Source organism: Homo sapiens, chromosome 11, assembly GCF_000001405.40.
Source record: "Homo sapiens chromosome 11, GRCh38.p14 Primary Assembly".
In the NCBI taxonomy this organism is placed as follows: Eukaryota; Metazoa; Chordata; class Mammalia; order Primates; family Hominidae; genus Homo; species Homo sapiens.
This window is the reverse complement of record NC_000011.10, coordinates 60,327,189-60,349,246: the sequence shown is the minus strand read 5'-3', so window position 1 is coordinate 60,349,246 and position 22,058 is coordinate 60,327,189. Positions and strand designations below refer to the sequence as shown.

The 22,058-nt window shown below is 40.7% G+C and overlaps 1 protein-coding gene across 4 annotated transcripts, besides 1 other annotated feature; it reads right to left on the bottom strand.

Annotated features, from left to right (window-relative positions):
* Nucleotides 1-174: 174 nt before the first annotated feature.
* Nucleotides 175-21,992, bottom strand: MS4A6E (membrane spanning 4-domains A6E). 4 transcript variants are annotated; one of them, NR_170614.1, is made up of 6 exons: nucleotides 21,839-21,992; nucleotides 14,205-14,365; nucleotides 11,300-11,506; nucleotides 9,283-9,381; nucleotides 8,319-8,471; nucleotides 175-777 (listed from the first exon to the last, which is right to left on the bottom strand). NR_170614.1 is itself a non-coding variant. In NM_139249.4 (5 exons), exons 2-4 carry the CDS (start codon nucleotides 14,349-14,351, stop codon nucleotides 9,292-9,294), a joined length of 444 nt encoding a protein of 147 aa, NP_640342.1. In that variant the 5' UTR covers nucleotides 14,352-14,365; nucleotides 21,839-21,992; the 3' UTR covers nucleotides 7,906-8,471; nucleotides 9,283-9,291. The 4 variants fall into 4 exon arrangements, 1 of the variants encoding a protein (NP_640342.1); NR_170616.1 differs by lacking the exon at nucleotides 175-777 and adding an exon at nucleotides 13,598-13,717 and having other exon boundaries at nucleotides 7,906-8,471; NM_139249.4 differs by lacking the exon at nucleotides 175-777 and having other exon boundaries at nucleotides 7,906-8,471.
* Nucleotides 14,917-15,211: an enhancer, noted in NCBI's record as "tiled region #5454; HepG2 Activating non-DNase unmatched - State 12:CtcfO". NCBI's record gives its function as "activates a minimal TATA promoter and a strong SV40 promoter by Sharpr-MPRA in HepG2 cells {active_cell/tissue: HepG2}" and the evidence as "EXISTENCE:reporter gene assay evidence [ECO:0000049][PMID:27701403]".
* Nucleotides 21,993-22,058: the final 66 nt, after the last annotated feature.

Sequence of the window (22,058 nt, the reverse complement as noted above, 5' to 3'; positions counted from 1 at the left end):
CTACTGGAGAGTCTAGTGGATACAGTAAGTCATCCCTCTGAGCCTCTTTTTCATCTGCTAAATGTAGAGATGATTACTTATGTTGAAAGGTGTTTGTAAGGATAATTGAGAATATTAAAAGCTTATCATAAGTTGATTCTCAAGACAATATTAAAGTGCTTTAATTTCAAAAAGTGCTTTTTGTGCTATCCTAACTTTATTGCACTTTTTTATCCACCCCCACCCCATTCTCTTCACTCTGGGTGAATTGAAAGAAATCTTTTAGACTTTGTCTAATTGTTCTTCACTCCCATTCTTCTCCTGAGTATAGAAGTGGACCTCAATTCTGTCCATTCATTTTGAGGCTCTTAGCCACCATTTTAAAACCAAATCAAATAAAAATCCCGGGCATCCCATGGCCATCTACATGCCTTTAGGGCAAACCACCTGCTGTTCTCAAGTCTCAGATGACAGGCTTCCTGGAGATACCATGGCCAATCCCCCAGGTTACTGGGCATGTTGGCCATATTTTGAATCAGTTTCTCTTCATGGAGTACCTAGCTGTTGCATGGGGCTGGAAGAGGTTTTGGAGCAAATGAGGATTTCTCGCCAGGGTTACACCCTGGTGTTATCTGAAGCCTTCTGGACTGACCCCAGCCTCTGATTGCTTGATCCGGCATCAGCAACAGGATATCCAATTTTCTATTGCAAATTTCCTCCTTTTCCATCTGCGACTGCCATATCTCTTATCCTCTGTATGCAATGCTGCACAGATTTTTATGGTGTGGGGAAATAGTCCTGTTAGGAAAGATTAGCAAATGCCATATAAACTGGGAATATAGCTCAAGGGAATGCCATTTTTGTGATTTTCTAGGAGCAGAAGGTCTCCCTGAAATGAGCTGTACTCTTTCTACCCTTCATCTGGCAAGCACGTGGTATTTCTAGGTCAACAGCATCACCCAGTGGAATAAGAATCCTCTCACTGGGCACATTGTCAGTCCTTTGCTGAAACACTCTAGCTTTTCCAATTTCCTCCCTTTGTGCGCCCCTCCACAAGAGACCAGGCTTTATGCTCCTTCTGTGAATGGAAAAAAACTCTACCTTTAACCATTAGGAGAAAAATGTCCTCCAATTTTAGTTCTGAGACTGTCCTGTTAGCAGGAAAACCACCATTTGGTTCCTGGGTTTTTTAAAGAAACCTCTTCTGCCTTTAGTTAGAATGGTACTTAAATGGTAAGGGGATTTTATGTCCAGAAGTTAACCCGAATCGCTGTCTAAGGGTAAACACTTTAGCATGGGCCATAATAGCAAAATATAGAATTCAATCTAGTACACCCCTCCCATTAAAGCAGTCTTGCCCAAATGTAACTATTACATAGCCTTTCCCAAGATCCATCTTTTGGGGAGCCATGCAGATCATACAAGTCTAGGGAGTCAAAGGGGAATCAGAAGCGGAGAACTAGGGCTGCATGGGTATGCATGACTAAGCCCATTCCTTAGTTCCTCCAGTTTCATGGCTGGGGTGGGGGGTTATGCCTGCAACCATGGGCAGCACATTTAACAAGGTGCTGGGACCACAGGAAGCAAGGAGAGAAAACAGTAGGGTGGATGCCCTCACTGTCTTCGCCTCCACCCTGTGTCATACCAAAAGGAATGAGACTAAAGATAGGCCTTTTTTTTTTTTTTCTCAGTTCTCTTTCTAGATGCATAACAGATTGTCTTTGGCCTGAATTTCCTCTTGAGTGCATTCTAGAACATTGGGACTCCTCTGACCCTGAGACTTTGAAAAAAAAAGCATCTCATATTCTATTGTACAACTTCTTACCATCTTGGGGATGAACAGACTTGGCCCACTGCGGTGGAGACTTGATTTTAATATTATCCAACAATTAGATCTTTTCTACAGATGGGAGGGCAAATGATCCAAGATCCCCTATGTACAGGCTTTCTTTGCCCTGCAAGATAACCCAGACTTGCAAGCATTGCACAATCAACCTAGCTCTTTTAGCAGCCATGTCAGGAAATTCCATAGGAAATGATTCCCCAAAACTAAAGCATATTCCAGGGGGACAATCTGAGACAGCTACTGAGTGTCTCAACCCTTCCAGTCTCCCTTATCTGGGACCCCCACTAACCATGCCACCAGCTCCTCCAGCTGCACTATCTCTAAAACTACCCACTTTCCCTGCTTCACTCTTACCCCTACAAGAAATGCCTGATGAAAATTGTGCTATTAGGATTCACATTTCCTGCTCATTTCAGGACCTTTGGCAAATAAAGGGAGACTAGGCCAATTTTCTGATGACCCCAATAGGTATATAGAAGCTTTCCGAACTTTAACTCAGGTGTTTGACCTCGCATGGAGGGATGTTATGCTGCTTCTAAGCCAAACCCTCACCGCAGCTGAAAAGCAGGCAGCTCTGCAGCTAGCAGAGAAATTTGGAGATGAACAACATGTTTTTTATAGTAGACTGAAAAGGAGAAAAGGAGACAGAGAAGGTGAAGGAATAATGGAAACACCATTCCAAATAGGAAGGGAAGCAGTTCTTTTTGCCAACCCTGATTGGAACTCCAATAGTTCTGCAGATAAATGGTAAAGGAAACACTTTTAATGTGTATATTAGAGGGCCTACAAAGAACTAGGGCCAAACCTTTTAATTATTCTAAACTGTCCATGATAGACCAAAAGCCAGATGAGAATCCTGCAGCCTTTATGGAAAGGCTGAGAGATACACTAATAAAACACACTTCCTATCCCCTTATTCAGTCAAGGGATGGCTCATCCTAAAGAACAAGTTTATTACACAGGCAGTTCCCAACATTAAGAGGAAACTACAGCAGCAGGTGATAGGACCAGATAGCACCTTGGAGAACCTCCTGAGCATGGCCACTTTGGTCTTTTAAATAGGGACAGGAGGATGCCCAAGAGAAAGAGAGGAAACACAAGAGAAGGACAGAGCCTCCAGTAGCTGTTTTGCAGGCTTGCAAAGCCCAGGATTCCTCAGGTGCATCCGCTAGATGCTATTGATGTGGCAAGTCAGGGCACTTTAAGAAGGAGTGCCAGGCAGCAAGAAGTCACCTTGACCCTGTCCAGACTGTAGCATGGATCACTGGAGATCAGACTGCTCCCAGAGACAGAAGTCACCAGTTTCAGAACCAGTCTCACAGATGGTCCAATAGGACTGATGGTTCCTGGGGCTCAAACCTCCAGCTCCAGTGGCTCAAACTGTCATGAACAGCACAGAAGCCCCAGGTGATTCTGGAAATTAAAGGAAGGAAGGTAGACCTCCTTCTGGACAACAGAGCCAGTCTCTTCTCCTGTCTAATCCAGGCCTCCCCTCTTCCCATAGCATGAACGTGAGGGGCATCTCAGGAAAAATTCTAATCTAATATTTTTCTCAACCCCTTAGTTGCAGTTGGGGGGACCTATTATTTATACATGCCTCCAAGCCATTGCCACAGTGGCCCTACTGGTCCCAGAAGCCACCAAATTAACCCTGGGAAATGATTTACACCCCACATAATGTGGCAGGATTGCTGTCCTCTAGGGGGAGCCTTTGGCTAACAGCCAGCCAGCTCCTTAACAGACTCTGTTGTTAGAGATTTCCACAATTGAGTTAAACACTTGTTCTCACCTAAACACAGCCACTTTCCTTCCAGAGGAAGCTGGGGAACCTGAATATGACTGTGAACAAGTTATAATACAAACCAATGCAGCCAGAGAGTATCTCAGGGAAACTCTCCTAGAAAATCCAGACTAGACCCTCTTCACAGATAGTAGCTGTGAAGCTCCACAGTCAGGATATGCAGTAGCCACTCTAAATGACGTCTTTCAAAGTGTGTCTCTCTCTCCAGCCACAAGCAGTCAATTAGCTGAACTGATAGCTCTTACAAGAGCACTTGAATTAAGCAAAATAAAGGTAGGTAATATTTACACTCCAAGTATACTTTCTTAGTTCTCCATGCTCATGGTGCCATTTGGAAGGAAAGACACTTTCTTACTGCTAATGGATCTCCTATAAAATACCACCAGGGGCAGGGCGCGGTGGCTCAAGCCTGTAATCCCAGCACTTTGGGAGGCCGAGGCGGGTGGATCACAAGATCAGGAGATCGAGAACATCCTGGCTAACACGGTGAAACCCCATCTCTACTAAAAATACAAAAAATTAGCCTGGTGTGGTGGCGCACACCTGTAGTCCCAGCTACTCGGGAGGCTGAGGCAGGAGAATGGCGTGAACCCAGGAGGTGGAGCTTGCAGTGAGCCGAGATTGTGCCACTGCAACCAGCCTGGGCCACAGAGTGAGACTCTGTCTCAAAAAAACAAAAAACAAAAAACAAAAAAACAAACAAAAAAAACAAAACAAACAAACAAAAACCACCAGGAAATTAGCAGGTTATCATCCTCAGTTTTCCTTCCATGAAAGATAACAGTGCTACACTGTAAGGGACATCAAAAGGGAAAAGATGAAGTAGCTGAAGGAAATAGGTTAGCTGATCAGGCAGCTAAGTCAGCAGCAAGGAAGCCTCAAGACATCTATGGACTTCAAGCCCCTCTAATCTGGGAAGGTTCCATAAAGAAATTAAACCTCAGTACTTCCCTGCAGAAATAGAATGGGCCACTTCTCAAGTGTATATTTTCCAGCTCTCAGGATGGCTACAGTCAGGATGGCAAACTCTACTTGCCAGTCTCTAGCCAATGGAAAGTCCTTAAAATCCTCCATCAAGCTTTTCACTTGGGAAAGGATAAAACTCATCAATGTGCCCAGAGATTGTTTTCAGGAGAGAACTTACCAAAAACAGCCAAACAGGTTGTTAATGCTTGTGAAATCTGTCTTAAAAATAATCCCCTGAACAGGTGGCTCCTTCCTCCTCAAACCCAAAGAATAGGAAGCTATCCAGGGGAGGACTGGCAGACAGACTTCACCCACATGCCAAAGATGAAGGGCATCCAATATCTCCTGGTAGGGACAGATACTTTCGCCAACTGGTTAGAAGCATTTTCATGCCATACAGAAAAGGCATCTGAGGTAATAAAGTGTTAGTTAATGAAATAACTCCCCGCTGTGGTCTACTTAAATACCTCCAAAGTGACAATGGCAGACAAAGTGAGCCCTTTTAAAATGCTGTATGGATGGTCTTTCCTTACCAATGATTTTCTATTAAATTAAGAAATCTCTGAGTTGGTTGAGCATGTAACCTCTCTGGCTCACTTCCAGCAGGAATTAACACAGTTAGCAAAAGCCCAACTCCAAGAAATAGGATCACCTTTATTTAACCCAGGAGATTTGGTATTGGTGAAAGCTCTCCCTTCTCTCTCTCTTCCTGACCCCAAGCTGGGAAGGGCCCTACACTGTTCTTTCAACCCCCTCAGCAGTAAAAGTTACAGGTATTAATTCCTGCATACATCACACTCCAGTCAAAGCCTGGAAAGCTGAGAGAGCAACCTCTGACAGCCCAGAAGAACGTCCTGGACATCAATGACAAAAAATAGGAGATCTTAAGCTGAAAATCATAAAAGATAAGTAAGTAAGTAAGGGCTACCCATCTTACTCAGTCCCACCTTTAACTCACCAGATACTTTTTGTCATTTCAACATTTCCTCTCGAGATTCGCAGCCAGATATTAGCACTTCTTTTTAACACATATTTGCAGGGAGATTTTAATTATACATGGGATTACATTTGTAACTTCATAGAACCCCAAGGAGAAATTCTACATCTTGGCGAGTAAAAGTTTTAGACGTAAATTATCTACTACACCACCTTTCCGGGAATTGATACATGCGCTCTACTATTTGCAACACAACTATACATTGTGGCACCTGCAATATGGAATTCCGGTTGGAAAATTCTAATTGCTGTAATATTCTGTCTAATTATAATCTTTATAGTAGAATTAATAATTGGGGGACACTTATGCAAAAAAAAGGTTCCTTTTATATTAACGCGTCTAGTAAAGTAAGCGACACCTGGTGGAGGCAAACTAGTATTACAAGCCATTAAAATGGCTAACAGGTATCAAACTCCACTGGCATGGTTATGGCCTATGGTACCCCCACTAATAATGGTAATCTTAATACTCATATTCAAACCCTGTATTCTAAACCTTCTTGTAAAATTTATCTCTTTTGGCCTAGAAGCAAACTTTAAATGGTGCTGCAGGCAGAACCACACACGGACACGCCTTTCTTCTGAGGACCGTTAGATTGAACTCAGGAGGAGCCCTAGCTGCTGTCCCCACTAGATGCCCCTTTTCAGCAGGAAGTAGTCAGAAAGAGTCACTGTCCAACACCCTCTAACAGCAGTTAGGGTTACTACTTCTGAGGGGAGAAATAACACAGGAGCTAAAAAGAAATTATTTAAGTAGCTAGTGAGGGTAAGGGAGTTCTCAGTAAGATTTTCTTTTTATTAAAAAGCAGCCCCCAAATCATTTCTTGTCTAGCAAAAGAAGCCTGAAAAATCCAGCTGCAAGAATAGATAAGCAAGCTGGAAGCTTGCAAAGGTGAATGCCAGCAGTTGTGCCAATAGAAAAGGGATACCTGGAAGCTAGATATATTAAGCATGGAGGTTCCCTCTTCCCTTTTCTTTGTCACCATGTGTGCAGCAAAAAAGCAGGCAATATGGTGCCGGCCAGGTGGAGACCCCATCTGCATAATAAAAGATTAGTGTGGGATGGCCAGCACTTCCCATGCTATGTAAATGGCACATCTGGTCCAACCAATCTACTATGCCTGATGTAAATCAGACACGACCTCCTCAGACTCATCTATAAAACCAGCCTCATCTTGCCCCAAACCCAGAAATCCATTCGGGATCCCTTCCTCTGCATGAGGAAGCACTCTTCTTTCTTTTAGCCATTAAACTTCTGCTCTTAAATTCACTCTTTGTGTGTCCATGTCTTCAATTTTCTTGGCATGAGACAATGAACCTCTGATATTACCCCAGACAAATGACAATGCTTCAATGGTCCTCTCCTGTGGCGGAAGGTGGCACCATGTGATTAATAGTGGGGAGGTGGATTTTCAAAGGAAGTACATTCTGTCTTTTCTGTCTTTCTCTCCCCCCCCCTCTCTCTCTCTCTCTCTCTCTCACACACACACACACACACACACACACACACACACTTGTTTATCCTCTACATTCTTTTAGGCAGAAGATGATATTCTTTATTCTGTGCTCAAATAACAGTTAGTGTCTTTATTCTGTGCTCAAATAACAGTTAGCGAAATCCCTAACTTCATTGTCATCTCTGTTTTCCTTATTTGACTATAAATATCTTGAAGCCAAATCATGTATCTTATTCACTTTGGTAGCCCTGGCATTAAAAGCATAGTGTCTGGTATCCAATAAGTATCAATAAAAGTTGAATGTCCACAATAGGCAAATAAATAAAAGAAATGGTGTGTGTCAGTGGGGGGTGCAAAGGACAGGGAGAAGACCTAATGAAACAGATTTGAAGATAAAGCTAAAATCAAAGAAACTGACAGTTCCATTTGAGACTGGAAAAAAAGAGCAGAGAAACTCTCTGAGTATCAGGATATCTGAGACAGTGAGTATGAAGTATGACCCCTGCTACAGAGGGTCAGAGCAAGGAAATATGACAAAATCTTTCAAAGAAATGGAGGTCATATAAAATTGAAATACTTTTTTACACGTGTGTGTGTGTGTGTGCGTGTGTGTGCATGAGCAAGGTGAGGCTTATGTTTGTTATACTCAAACAATTCGTCTTTTTTATTTTGAAATAAGGACGTAAGTATGAACTGGTTGTCTCTTCATAACAGATAAGCATTCCTGGTTAGCATTTGTTCACTCGTTAGTTTTGTTTGAATATTGGTGAGGAGAAAATTGAGTTAAAATTTGGGTTTATGTCTGTCATTGTTGATTTATTCTGTGTTTAAAGGAAAAAATAACAAAATAAGTATTAAAATAAAGTATGCACTCAAAGATTTTATTTTGAAGCCGGCTACTTTCATACACTCGGAGACTTCATTATGGGGTTTGCCTTTATGCACTAATGAGTAAAATACATGGGATAAATCAGTAGCACCTGTGATAAAAGAGTCTGCGCACCACAGCAAATCAGTTAACTCCTGTTCACAATTGAGGAGTATAAGAAAAAGCTGTATCCTTTGCCTCACTGTGATCCATTGAATCATCATTCTGCCTAGTTTTCTGGGAAATGTCTAAGACTATTTGGCTAGTCTAGTAAATGGTAATTTACAGCCCTGTGCTTTTGCTGAAGTCAGTATCAGGCAAACCAAGAGATCCCCAATGAACACATATCATAAATGACAGCGAAATAATTTTTTAAAACAAATATGCATTACTTTAAATGCTTACATTTAGGAAACTCAAGTTTGCTTTTTTATAATGGTTAGGTTTTCCATATTATCATAAAAATCAACTTTCCAATTAATATTTCTCCGTTTTTTCCCAAGAAGTCAATAGTTCTTCATATCCAGCATCATGAGTCGTCTTTGAGGACATGAGTAACTGTGAGGCAGGAAAAGCACACTTTAGAAGAAACAAAGTATGTTAGGTCTTCAGACTTTACTCAGGTTCAAGATACATGTGGATATGCCATTTTTTCCAACTGTATACATAGAATTCTTAGCTAATCCAAGACAAGTAGAGCAGATCACTGGGTTCTTCAAATAATTACAATTTATCAGTCTAGTATTCTTCTATTCTCTATAATAAAATTCTGGATAAATCAAGGCTTTTAAATTCAGTTAAATAAAGCAATAAGTCCATAGGGGTGGTATCCCTTGGAATTTGATTCAACAATACATTTTTAATATATCTTTTAAAAGGAAAAAGAATTTTAAAATCACCAGGAGGAAAAGCAGAGCATAAGACATTCACTGGATCCAGTCACATGTGTAAAGGCCCTTTACCAAGTCAATACTATTAAAGAGACTAGTGGTTGTGGCAGAAATTGTTTCTGCTTAGAAGGGAGGCAAGCCAGGTTCTAGCGTCCTCAGCACAGGTACAGACTCATATCATAATGCCAGCCCAGTCATTTAACTTCCCAGAGTCTCATTCCCTTCAATGACAAAATGGGAAGATTGAACCAGTTGATTTCTCATTTTAACTATTTTCATATCCAGTGAACTCTCAGCTTGTCAGCTACTCAATTACCATCTGCTTTTCTTCTCGGTCTTCCATCACCATTTAAATGACCTCCCATGTGTATCTCATGACTGACTGATTGTTCCTTCTACCACTCTTGGTGACATACTCAACACAGTGCAGAGATAAGATACACTAGGCAAGATTAAGCGAGGCTGGCCAGCACACTCACCCAGGGAAGTCAGACAGTCTGTTTCCACTGCAGCACAGCAGTGAGCACAGCTAGGCAGAACTCCAACACAGTAGAAACCAGCATCAGAGACAGAGTTCCCTGAAAGTCAAGAAATAAAATATCAGTGATGCTTGGGTCAGCCGAAGCTTTCATGCCTAGTTTAGAGGTGACCATAGAGATGAAGACCACCTCAACCATTAGAGAATGAAGTAAGGAAACAATCAGGAAAACAAAACTGCTCCTCCTCACAATTGTCTTAATTCAACTCCTTCACTCATTCAGTTTCTTGAGAAGAGAAGGGAAGATGAGTAGTAACTAAATCAACTAATCCATTTCATACACTTGTTTCTCACTTCTTTGAGACGTACGTAGTTCTGATGACATTGTTCACTCAGTAAGAGAGCAGAGTGGCGTAATAGCTCCCAGGACTGAGAATCAGCAGCTCCATTATAGTCTCATCTTTACTGCTGAGTAGCTGTGTAAGCCTGGACAAGTCTCTTTCTTTCTCTAGCTCCTGTTTCCTCATGTATCAAACATGCATACTAACATTTATTTCTCAGAGATTTGTGAGGATCAAGGAGGTTTTGGCTGTGTAAGCCCTTTGTAAAATTCAGTATTGACATCCCTGTCTATGTATCTGAACCTGTTTGGATGTTTTTTATTTTTGTTGTTTATTTTTTATTTTTGCTGTTTTTGGTGTTTTAAGACTTGGAAAAAAACAGTGAAGGTAGTAAACTGTTGCTAATCACCAACACCAACTCACAAGGATGAGTTCTACCATTTCTGTCCTGAGACATTCTTTGTGCAGAACTGGTCATCTGATAATAAAGGGAGGTAATTTGATCACATGAACTTTTGTTTTGTGGTATTTACACACAGTTAAATAGAAGATACATGTTGTGTCCATTACCTAGAAATTGTTCCAGCAAGCAAGCTCAACAGAATCTCTCTTATTTCCAATATAAAATCGTCCCATCATGAATTTATACTTTATCACTACCAAATTTCTCCCAAATTTCTCTCCAGAATTTTTCCCAAGGTGGAATTTGTACCAATTACTGTCAGCCTCATTTGCATGCACTTTTTCCTCATTATACCATTACCTTGGAAGCAAGGCTCAGTTTATAATGGGTGCTGTACAAGCATGAATTTGACCAGACCTTTCTATCTGTCCATCGTCCAGGTGAGTTCTTGGCTGACCTCATTTTTATGATTGCAGGACAATAAATATTCTGCAACTTCTTTACTTTTATGTTGCCTGTTTTCCTCTCAATGCGTTGCTGGCCATGCACATACCCCTTAATTTTTCAACTTCAGACACATTATTTCTGTTAGCCAAACTTCATTGTTTTTCTTCTTCCAAAGAGAGAGAATTCTCCTGCGATAATTCTCAGTTACACTCTCCATCTCCCTATATTTCTTATCTCCTGATTTAAGATATCACACTTCTTTCAGCTATAACAAAAAGCAATAATAATGTTACCGTTTCACCTGATTAGTATTATTCATTATTGTAATCATTAGGAGAAACCCTTACCATCTAACCCCATATTTCCTATTCTCTGTTTCTTCATCTTTAGTCTGATGTCTTTTTAGACCAAACTGACCCCCTACCACACACACATACCACATTTCCTTGTCAGCATTTTCTGATCACCCGGGTCTTTCTGCTCTGTTTGCCAATCTGAATTCACCACTCTATGTACCAACATTCTCAGTTTGACAAACTCATAATTTATGCCTCCAAAATTAGATTAGTTGAGTAATTAAGAAACTCTACAAACCGTAAGTTTTAGTTTTTCATCATCAACCTTATCTGACATTTCAATTCCACTCTGTTAGTATGTAATCCCCTTAATCTCATCCATGCAGCCCCCCTTTGATTTACATAACCTTGGCCTTCCTCCAGATGCCCAAACCAGAATTAACAGAGAGATTTTCAAAGGATGGAATAATAAGAAATCAAGGCTTTCAGAAACCTCATAAAATTAGAACATCCCATCTAAAAAATACTTACAGCCAGACTGGCTTTGGCTCTATGGCAGTCCATGGTGTAAGGTGAATGATAATCATAAGAAAGAAGAAGTCTGGTTGGTATATCCTTTTCGTCCAACTTACACTGCAATGAGGCAGGATTTAATGCAGCCGGGTTGACAGACAGGAGAATGAAACCCACCAGGGCAGACAGAGCACTCAGAATGCTTCCAGCCAGGCTGCTATGCACCTGAAAGAGACATGCTGGGTAAGAATCATTCCCAAAGGGCCACGAATCTCTCTTATCCCTTTTTGCCATTACATTGCAAGTTATTCCCTTATCTGTCTCCCTCAGGAAGTCCCGGAGGGATCATTTCTTGTTGTAGGCCTCTCCAGTGTCCAGCCAAAAACTCAGAATCTGCAACGTAAAACTTGGCTGAATGAATGAACATATGAACTGGTTCCCCTCAAACAGGACCTCAGTAGTGTGGTAGAGAATGTTACTCTCCTAAATTCTTTCCCTGGGACAGATAGCAGGGCCCACGAGGCTTGCCTGGAAAATTACTGTGAGTGTGACCACAAGCAAAGGTGGCAATGTACCAGATGCAGTTTCTCTCTCGGCCAACTCAGAAACCCCTCGTGCAAGCATCAACCACACAGAAAATCTGGATGGTGTATTAGCATGGTGCAAAAGTAATTTTGGGTTTTGCCACTACTTTCAATGGCAAAACCGCAATTACCTTTGCACCAACCTAATAGCTCACTTTTGCGTGCCTATTGCCTCTCTCAAAAGCACACCTCTCAAAGATGAGTGAGGGGGTGGTTCTGAGTCTCAGGCAGGCCCTGGAACCTGGGCAGGCATATGACTGGCCACATTGAGCGCAGCATGGGGTGGCTGTGGGCAGAGGTCTAGGTGCGGGCCCAAGGATGGTGTAATGTGTGGGAGGCAGCGGGAGGTACAGAATAAAGGCCTGGACTGGATGTCAGAAAATTGAGGTCACAATATAGACTTGACCCAGCTTGTTCCCTTGGGTACTCAGTTCCTTGGTTTTATTTCCCACTCTGGTTCTCATTTCTACATTTATGAAGTGGAGGAAATAAATAAACTGACCTCAGAAGTGACTTCCTTTACTCCAACTCACACAGAAAAGAGAACTGAGCTCACAGCATTCTGAAAGCTATTGTTACAGGTAGGTAGGCTCCAGGGCACATCCCACAGCCATACAGTAGAGTGTTATTTAATCCCATATGGGCACTTCTTCTTTTAGGAACTCACCAGTTGATGCTCTGGGACCCCAATTTCCCAACATAATGACTGAAGTGTACACTCCTGGGCCTCCTAGTAGCCAGTAGTAGTCTTGATGCCTAGAGTCTATATTTCTTAGAATAAGCTAGATTTGTCTTGAGATGGCACTCTTCTTCAATCTCAAAAAGGGCTGGTACAATGTGTGACAAGAGTAGAACTCACTAAAGCCTCGATGTCTCTGGTGAGTCTGAGCCCACCCCGAGACCACATCCTGCATCCTTGAGCTTCCTGCATGTTCACTGTGGGATTGTTCTCTGGAGTAAGAGGCCCATATATTTCCTACTAAAAGTTTGAAAACATTACTCTTGTACTAGGCTACTCAGTATGGTTGCCAGTAGCCACATGGGCTACTTATATTTGAAGTAAAATTAAGTAAAATTTAAAATTCAGTTGCACTATCCATATTTCACATCATCGATAGCCACATGTGACCGCCATATTGTAACAGTGCAGCTGTTGTGGATTTCCATCATCATAGAAAGTTACATTTCATTTCCATCATAGACAGTTACATTGCACAGCACAGATCTAGTGTTGGATTGTAACTGAGGGTTCCAAACAATAATCTCTAAATACCAACGAGGGAAAGAAAGAACTGGCATTTTTCTGGGCACTCTCTCTGACTTCCTTGCTGGCTTTGGGAGATTTTTGTAGCCAGAGCTTCCAAATTGAGTTTCTGTGCATTAGTTATTTTTCCTGATCCTCTCCCTCCTCCCACCCTCCACCCTCTGAAAGGCCCCAGTGTGCATTGTTCCCTTCTACGTGTCCATGTGTTCTCATCATTTAGAGGCCACCACCCTTAGCAAACTAACAAAACCAAATACTGCATGTTCTCATGTATAACTGAAGCTCTGTCTTAGGAGGTAGTTTTCCTTCCTGACATCCACCTCAGAGATTCACAGCTCTATTATCATTTACCAAGAAGTTTCCTAGACCTTTTGTCACCTGAGCCTCATAGAAACCCATATGATTGTACATGAGGCAAGGAAACCAGTCCCACCAGGTCCTGAAATCCAGTCAAACAGAGTGCCTCACCTCAGATCACATAAGTGCAGAGGCAATTCTAGAAACCAAAACTCTGTGTTTCCCTCCCAATCCAAGATAGATCCCTTCTTTCTCTCCTCCCTTCATGCAATACAGCTTCTTTAATAAACTCTGGATGAGAGGAGAAACAGACAAATAAAAGGTAAATATCATTTCCATTCTCAAAAAGGTAAGAAGAAAACAGGGAGAGGAGGTATATTTTTTCTGTAATTTGCAGTAAGGGAAAAATTCCTTGCAAAGAATCAGTGTGGATTGTTAAGCATGCAGTTGTGAAATACAGAAAAATGTATATACAATATGTCATTATTTACCACCATTACTTTCGTAAAAGAAAATATAGAGAAGTACTGTATTGCAAAAATACAAAGACAACAACAGAAAATCAACTCCTCATATTCAGAATAAGGGAAAAAACGTTTCTAAGACAATCTCCTGTGGAAAAGTTCTGGGACAGTTTTCTCCAAGTGGCTTCTACCCCAAAGTCCCTCCAGCAAAACTTAAGGGTCTCCACACTCACAAGGATGACCAGTCCCAAAACATACATCATCTCTTCCCACTTCCCCTAACCCCTCTCCAACATGTTCTGAATTAGATTTACCCCAATAACTTTGACTTTTGCCTGTAGACGTTTCTTCAGGCTATCCTGCCCCTGGTTGGTGGGTTCGGGTTTCTCTGCTTGGGAGAAGTTGATGACATTTGATGGGAGCATTATGATGGTCTCATTGGAAATAGGTTGTGATGTCATAATGGTGTTGCCAACTACGGAAGAAAAAATAGATTTAGCTCTTAAAAGTACAGAGCTCCCAAGTTCTGGCTGCAAAACTGGTAAGTCAGTTTCTGCCAATTAGTCCAGACTTGGCCTGTGTGTTAGAGAAAGAAACTGATATTATGGAGCAGTGAAAGCCACACAACCTTGGTATCATGAGGATTTTTCCATAATGTTTGACACAGTCCATTATAGATAATAAACACATCACAGGGTGGCAGCAGCATGAATCTTGAGAGGTCCCAATATCCAGAGGCAAAGGGTCACACAAAATTTGCAATATGCAGCAATGTCCCTTTGCCCAGTCCTACTGACAACAACTGTATTGCCATATATTTGATGAATTTTTTAGACAAATGCACTCTAATCATTTATTTTTTGTCTATTAGCATGCATCTTAGATATGTTTATCATATTTTACTAGACATGCTCTTAGTTTTTATCCTGCAGTGCTTTTAATATTTGAAAAATACACCCAACCTCCTCCAGTCATTACAGAGTGGCTTCATACATTGGAAGACCTTTATTGGTTAGCATAGCTAGAGATTCTAGGGGCCCTTCAAGCTTTTTATGGGCTTGTGTGTGTAATTTCCCAGTTAAAGAGGTTTGCTTGTTTCTTGTCTGGAGCCTGTAACCTCTTTCTCCCCCTGGTGTCCGCCTTCAGTACTACAATCTCCCTAGTGCTGAAACAGGGTGCTTGCCTTTGTTCTCAGAGGCCCCCAACATGGCATCCAAACTCTGCACTCTGAGTCATGTAAGACAGAAACCAGTGCCTTGGGCAACCCCGCTGGAAACCCAGAATGCTGGACTCATGGCCCACTCCTGTTGCTTCCCTAAGGGAGAAGCTGGGACTTCAGGGTTTTCTCCAGATCGAGTCTCACTGTATCAGGGTGAAAGAGGCCAGGACGAGTAAAATGCCACGACTTTTTCTACTCATTTTGATGCGTCTTTTCCTGGCTCTGCACTCACCTGAAGTGCTCCCAAGTTCCCGTGGCAGAGCTCAGAAACAGATATTTATGTTTGACAACAAAGGAGTTGGAGATAAATTTTGGTGTTTCTCTAACAATATATACAACTCTCTGTGCACATTCTCCATAAAATATCTCTTGTTCCTGCAGGTCCATGGGCAAAACTGTCTCCCTGGCATTTCTAGTTCTAGGGATCCCTCCTTAGAGAATAAGAAGGCCTTAACTCTTTGGACCCAAAACAACTATCCGAGTTTTTGTTTCTCAGCTAGCCCTGTTTCCCAGGTCCCATCTGCATCTCAGCTTTCATCTCCCACTCTCCAACCCTCTCCTTCAGGACCAGGGGAATCTTCTATTCCCTAAGGACATGTGTCCTTCTCTTATTTATCGTGTTTCCCCCTCCATTCCATGATACCTCTCATACCCTGTACTCTAGGAACTCTTCTCTTTTGATATATCTTTCTAAAGCATGTATCATAAACTTTTTAGTGAGATATTGTTCTTTGGATTGCTGGAAAACAAAAGCTAGAAACTAGTAAGCAAAATCTCCTTTTCCTTCCTCCATTACTATATTCCTCTAACTCCTCCACTTATCTCTCCCTTTGCATATATTATCTTAAGAAAAGTACTAAGAAAGTCTTAAATGCTTGGGATAGAAAGAAAAAAATTCATGTGTTTGCAAGACTTTTAATCTTTCTTGTAATCTGCATTGGATACATTAGTATTGGGCAACAGGAAGTCCTCAGTTGAAAACACAGCCTGGTAACTATTCCAGCATTCAAGGGATCCAGAGAAGGAAGGGCTAATGTTCAGCATAAGCTATTTCACAAAAGTGACTGTGATTTCTCATATGTAAGTGAGAAGTTTCTTCCTATAATGAAGGAAAAGAGGGAAGTGTGAAGGAAAGAAAGGAAGAAACATTTTCCTCAAAGTGACAATTAAGCAAAATGAAGCGTGTGGGCTCTTTGTGAGGAGGAGGAATCAACAGCTAGAAAGAGTCATCTGGTTCTGACTGATTTATGCGGGCATGCGGGTGTTTTAACAAGATAAAATCTTATTTGTTATATACATAGTAGCCTCGGATCAATTGCTTTCTCTTTGTGTCTTACATATATTATTTGGTATATTTGTTTTATGGTTTATATCTGAAAATGTCTTGAAATATCTCTGTCCAAATTATGATTTTGGGTCAACTAATAAAGAGCAGTTTTATGGTTTTGACAAGGTTGATGGTTCTCTGAATCAGTTAATATTTGCACTTAGCACCTCAGCTACATGGGGAAACATTGACTTAAACCATGCCATGTCAAACTGACATAAGATCAAATAAGAGAAGGACAGATGTCCTTAGGGAATAGAAGATTCCCCTGGTCGTGAAGGAGAGAGTTGGAGAGTGGGAAATGAAAGCTGAGATGCAGATGGGACCTGGGAAACAGGACTAGCTGAGAAACAAAAACTCAGATAGTTGTTTTGGGTCCAAAGAGTTAAGGCCTTCTTATTCTCTAACTTCCTCATGAATAATGAGCATTGACACATAATTAGGATCAATTTATCTAAGAGTTTACTACAATTATGTGTTCCCAGGAAATGCAAAACTTTTATACCTTGATATCCGAGTTTCCGTCTTTCAGTTGTAACTTGAGTAATAAAGTAGACTAATACATTTAGGCTGAGAATAGAGGATGAGATGACAAATTTAATGGATACTAACACCATTCAGTGAAAATATTTTTTGAAACATAATATTCACTTTGTCTTAAAAGCATAAGACTACTGATTCCTTTTTAGTTATGAAGTTAAAAATATACCTTTAAAATGAAAATAGCATGTGAATACCACCTGTCTTTGTCTGTTCAGACTGTTATAACAAAAATACCATAATCTAGGTGGCTGAAAAAACAAACATTTATTTCTCACGATTTTGGAGGCCAGGACATCTGACGTCAAATTGCTGGCATATCCTCAAGTGTGATGAAGGCCAACTTTCTGGTTCAAGGATGTCTGTCTTCTTGCTGTGTCCTCTCATGGTCGAAAGGAGCAAGAGAGCTCTGTGGGGTCTCTTTTATAAGAGCACCAATCCCATTCATGAGGACTCCACCTTTGTTACCTTATCGCCTTGCAAAGGCCCCACTTTTTAATACCATCACTTTAGGGGTTAGAATTTTAACATATGAATTTCGGGAAGACATAAACATTCAACTGATAACACCACCCGAATCAATTGATTAAAGTAACCACCACCAAAATTGAAATAAACTGTTATTATGTTCATCCTTATGTGATGCAATGAAAAGTTGGTAAGTCACATCATCTATGTTGTGTTTTTATTAAAATTATTAACTTGAACTCATGGAAAACAAGAAGAAATGTCCAAGATATGGGGCATTATATGAAACAAATGCTCCAGACTAAAAAAACAAAAACAAAAGTCAGTGTCATAAAAGACTAAAATAAATGCAAAATCAAACAAACAAAAAATGGTGAGAAACTGCTCTATGAGTAGATTATGAAAGACTCAAAGGACAAGAGAACCAAATGTATGAGTGAACCATAATTTATGTGTTTATTTATATATAAACACATAAGCCCCTCCATTATCCTCATATTTTTATAATTAGGGAATAATGGAGGAAATTGTAATAAGAACTATATATTGGATTATTATTATATTAATAAATTTTGGGATGTAATAATTGTATTAAAGCTATATAGTAGAATATTATTCTTAGGGGACATGTCTTAAGTATTTAGACATTAAGTATCAGGATATCAAGCACTTACATTTTGTAAAATAAATTTCATTGTACATATTTAAAGTATACAACATGATATTATGAGATACATATAGAGAATAAAATGGTTACTACTGACTTCAAACTATATTACAAGGCTACAGTAACCAAAACAGCATGGTACTGGTACCAAAAAAGATATATAGACCAATGGAACAGAACAGAGTCCTCAGAAATAACACCACACATTTACAGCCATCTGATCTTTGACAAACCTGACAAAGACAAGCAATCGGGAAAGTGTTCCATATTTAATAAATGACGTTGGGAAAACTGGCTAGCCATATGCAGAAAACTAAAACTGGGCCACTTCCTTACAGCTTATTCAAAAATTAACTCAAGATGGATTAAAGATTCAAACATAAGACCTAAAACCATAAAAACCATAGAAGAAAACCTAGGCAATACCATTCAGGACATAGGCATAGGCAAAGACTTCATGAATAAAACCAAAAGCAATTGCAACAAAAGCCAAAATTGGCCAGGCGCGGTGGCTTATGCCTGTAATCCCAGCACTTTGGGAGGCCGAGGTGGGCGGATCACGAGGTCAGATCGAGACCATCCTGGCTAACACAGTGAAACCCCGTCTCTACTAAAAATACAAAAGAAATTAGCTGGGCGTGGTGGTGGGTGCCTGTATCCCAGCTACTCGGGAGGCTGAGGCAGGAGAATGGTGTGAACCCGGGAGGCGGAGCTTGCAGTGAGCCGAGATCGCGCCACTGCACTCCAGCCTGGGCAAAAGAGTGAGACTCCGCCTAAAAAAAAAAAAAAAAAAAAAAAAAGAGCCAAAATTAACAAATGGGATCTAATTAAACAAAAGAGCTTCTACACAGCAAAAGAAACTATCATCAGAGTGAACAGGCGACCTACAGAATGGGAGAAAATTTTTGCAATCTATCCATCTGACAAAGGGCTAATATCCAGAATCTACAAGGAACTTAAACAAACTTACAAGAAAAAAACAAACAACCCCATCAAAAAGTGGGTGAAGGAGGCCGGGCGCGGTGGCTCACGCCTGTAATCCCAGCACTTTAGGAGGCCAAGACGGATGGATCATGAGGTCAGGAGATCAAAACCAGCCTGGCTAACACGGTGAAACCCCATCTCTACTAAAAATACAACAAATTAGTCAGGTGTGCTGGTATGCACCTGTAGTCTCAGCTACTCAGGAGGCTGAGGCAGGAGAATCACTTGAACCCAGCAGGCAGAGGTAGCAGTGAGCTGAGATTGTGCCACAGCAGTCCAGCCTGGGTGACTGAACGATATTCTATCTCAAAAAAAAAAAAAAAAAAAGTGGGTGAAGGATATGAACAGACAATTCTCATAAGAAGAAATTTATATGGCTAACAAACATAGGAAAAAAAGCTCATCATCACTGGTAATTAGAGAAATGCAAATCAAAACCACAATAGATACCATCTCATGCCAATTAGAATAGTGATCATTAAAAAGTCAGGAAACAACAGGTGCTGGAGAGGATGTGGAGAAATAGGAATTGTTTTACACTGTTGGTGGGAGTGTAAATTAATTCAACCATTGTGGAAGACAGTGTGGTGATTCCTCAAGGACCTAGAACTTGAAATACCATTTGACCCAGCAATCCCATTACTGGGTATATACTGAAAGGATTATAAATCATTCTGCTATATAGACACATACACACGTATGTTTATCGCAGCACTATTCACAATAGCAAAGACTTCAACCAACCCAAATGCCCATCAATGATAGACTGGATAAAGAAAATGTGGCACATATATACTATGGAATACTATGCAGCCATAAAAAAGAATGAGTTCATGTCCTTTTCAGGGACATGGATAAAGCTGGAAACCATCATTCTCAGCAAACTAACACAGGAACAGAAAACCAAACACTGCATATTCTCACTCATAAGTGGGAATTGAACAACGAGAATATATGGGCACAGGGAGGGGAACATCACACACCAAGGCCTGTCGGGGGGTGGGGGGCAAGGGGAGGGATAGCATTAGGAGAAATACCTAATGTAGACGATGGGTTGATGGGTGCAGCAAACCACCATGGCACGTGTATACCTGTGTAACAAACCTGCACGTTCTGCACATGTATCCCAGAACTTAAAGTATAATAATAAAAATTTAAAAATTAACATATCTATTATTTCAAATAGTCACTCGTTTGTATTTCTATGTGTGGCAAGAGCAGCTAAAATCTAGTCATTTAGCAAAAATGCCAAATACAATACCTTGTTATTAACTATCGTCTTTGTACTGTACATTAGAACTCTAGATTTGCTCATCCTACTTATCTTTCACTTTGTATCTTTTGACCTGCTGCTCTCCCCTACCAGTTTTCTCTCTCTCTCTCTTCTTCTACCCCTGGTAACCACAGTTTCACTCTCTATCTCTCTGAATTCTATATTGTTAGTTGTTTTGTTGTTATTTTAGATTCCACATATAAATGAGATTGTGCAATATGTCTCTGTGTCTGGGTAAGTTTACTTAGCATAAGTTTCTCCAGTATCTTCCATGTTGTGGCAAATGGCAAGATCTCCTTTTTTAAGTCTGAATTATATGAGTGTGTGTGTGTGTGTGTGTGTGTGTGTGTGTATCTCACAGTTTATCCATTCATCTGTCAATAAAAACTTAGCACTTGGCACCTGTAATGGGAATGGGAGCCCCAAAGATCTTCCAAATATCACTGGGATCACCCCTCCACTGTTCTAGTGAATAGTATCTGGCTTCTACCTACACATATATATTTCTTATTTAAACAGTAGCTTGGCCATACCTTTAATTTTCTTTCTTGAACAGCCTTTTATCTTCACATGGCCAGGCTGATAATTTTCTAAATCTTTAAATTTCACTTACTTTTTGATTATACATTTTATCTTTTAATTCATTTCTCTCTTCCCGTATTTTATTATAAGCAGTCAGTTCCCTGAACACTTCACTTAGATATTTATTTCACCAAACATCCTAGTTCATTGCCTTTAAGTTCTGCCTTCCACAAAACCCTGGGACATAGACACAATTCAGCCATATTCTTTGCCACTTGATAACAAGGATGGCCTTTGATCCACTTTTTTTTTTTTTTTTTTTTTTTTGAGATGGAGTCTCACTTTGTCACCCAGGCTGGAGTGTAGTGGTGCGATCTTGGCTCATGGCAACTTCCGCCTCCCAGGTTCAAGCAATTCTACAGCCTCAGCCTCCCGAGTAGCTGGGATTATAGGTGTGCACCACCATGACAGGCTAATTTTTGTATTTTTGGTAGAGACGAGGTTTCACCATATCAGCCAAACTGGTCTTGAACTCCTGACCTCCAGTAATCTGCCCACCTCGGCCTCCCAAAGTGAATGGGATTACAAGCATTGAACCACTGCGCCTGGCCCCCTCCAGTTTTTAATTATTTCTCATTTTCATCTGACACCACATCAGAATGGCACTCACTGCCCACATTTTAATTGATATTGTAATTACAACCACTAAAATAATCTCTAAGACTGAGGTTCTGTCTACAGCTCTCTTCTTCTTAGTCCTTACCAGAATCGTCTGTTAGAGACTAGCCTCTACCCATTACCCAGTTCCAATGCCACTTCCACATTTTTAGGTGTTCGATACAGCAGTACTCCACTTATTGGTACCAGTTTCTTTCTTAGTCCATTTGTGCTGCTATAACAGAATACCACAAACTGGGTAATTATAAAAAATAGAAAATTATTTCTCACAGTTTTGGAACTGAGAAGTCCACGATCAAGGTGCCACAGGTTCAGCATCTACTTAGGGTCACGTTGCTTGCTTCCAAGATGGTATCTTGTTGCTGCATCTTCCAGATAGGACAAACTGTGTCCTCACATGGTGGAATGAATGGAAGGGTGAAATAGTCCAAATGTCTTGTGAAGCCTCTTTTATAAGGACCTTAATTACATCCATGAGGGAGGAGTCATC

Excerpts from the sequence above, each read along its gene's own strand:
- MS4A6E (NM_139249.4), bottom strand. The coding sequence starts at position 14,351 with ATGACATCACAACCTATTTCCAATGAGACCATCATAATGCTCCCATCA. Across the intron at positions 11,507-14,204 it reads CAAAAGTCAAAGTTATTGGG|GTGCATAGCAGCCTGGCTGG; the intron begins GTAAATCTAATT and ends TGTCTCTTTCAG. Across the intron at positions 9,382-11,299 it reads GAGCCAAAGCCAGTCTGGCT|GGAACTCTGTCTCTGATGCT; the intron begins GTAAGTATTTTT and ends CTTGACTTTCAG.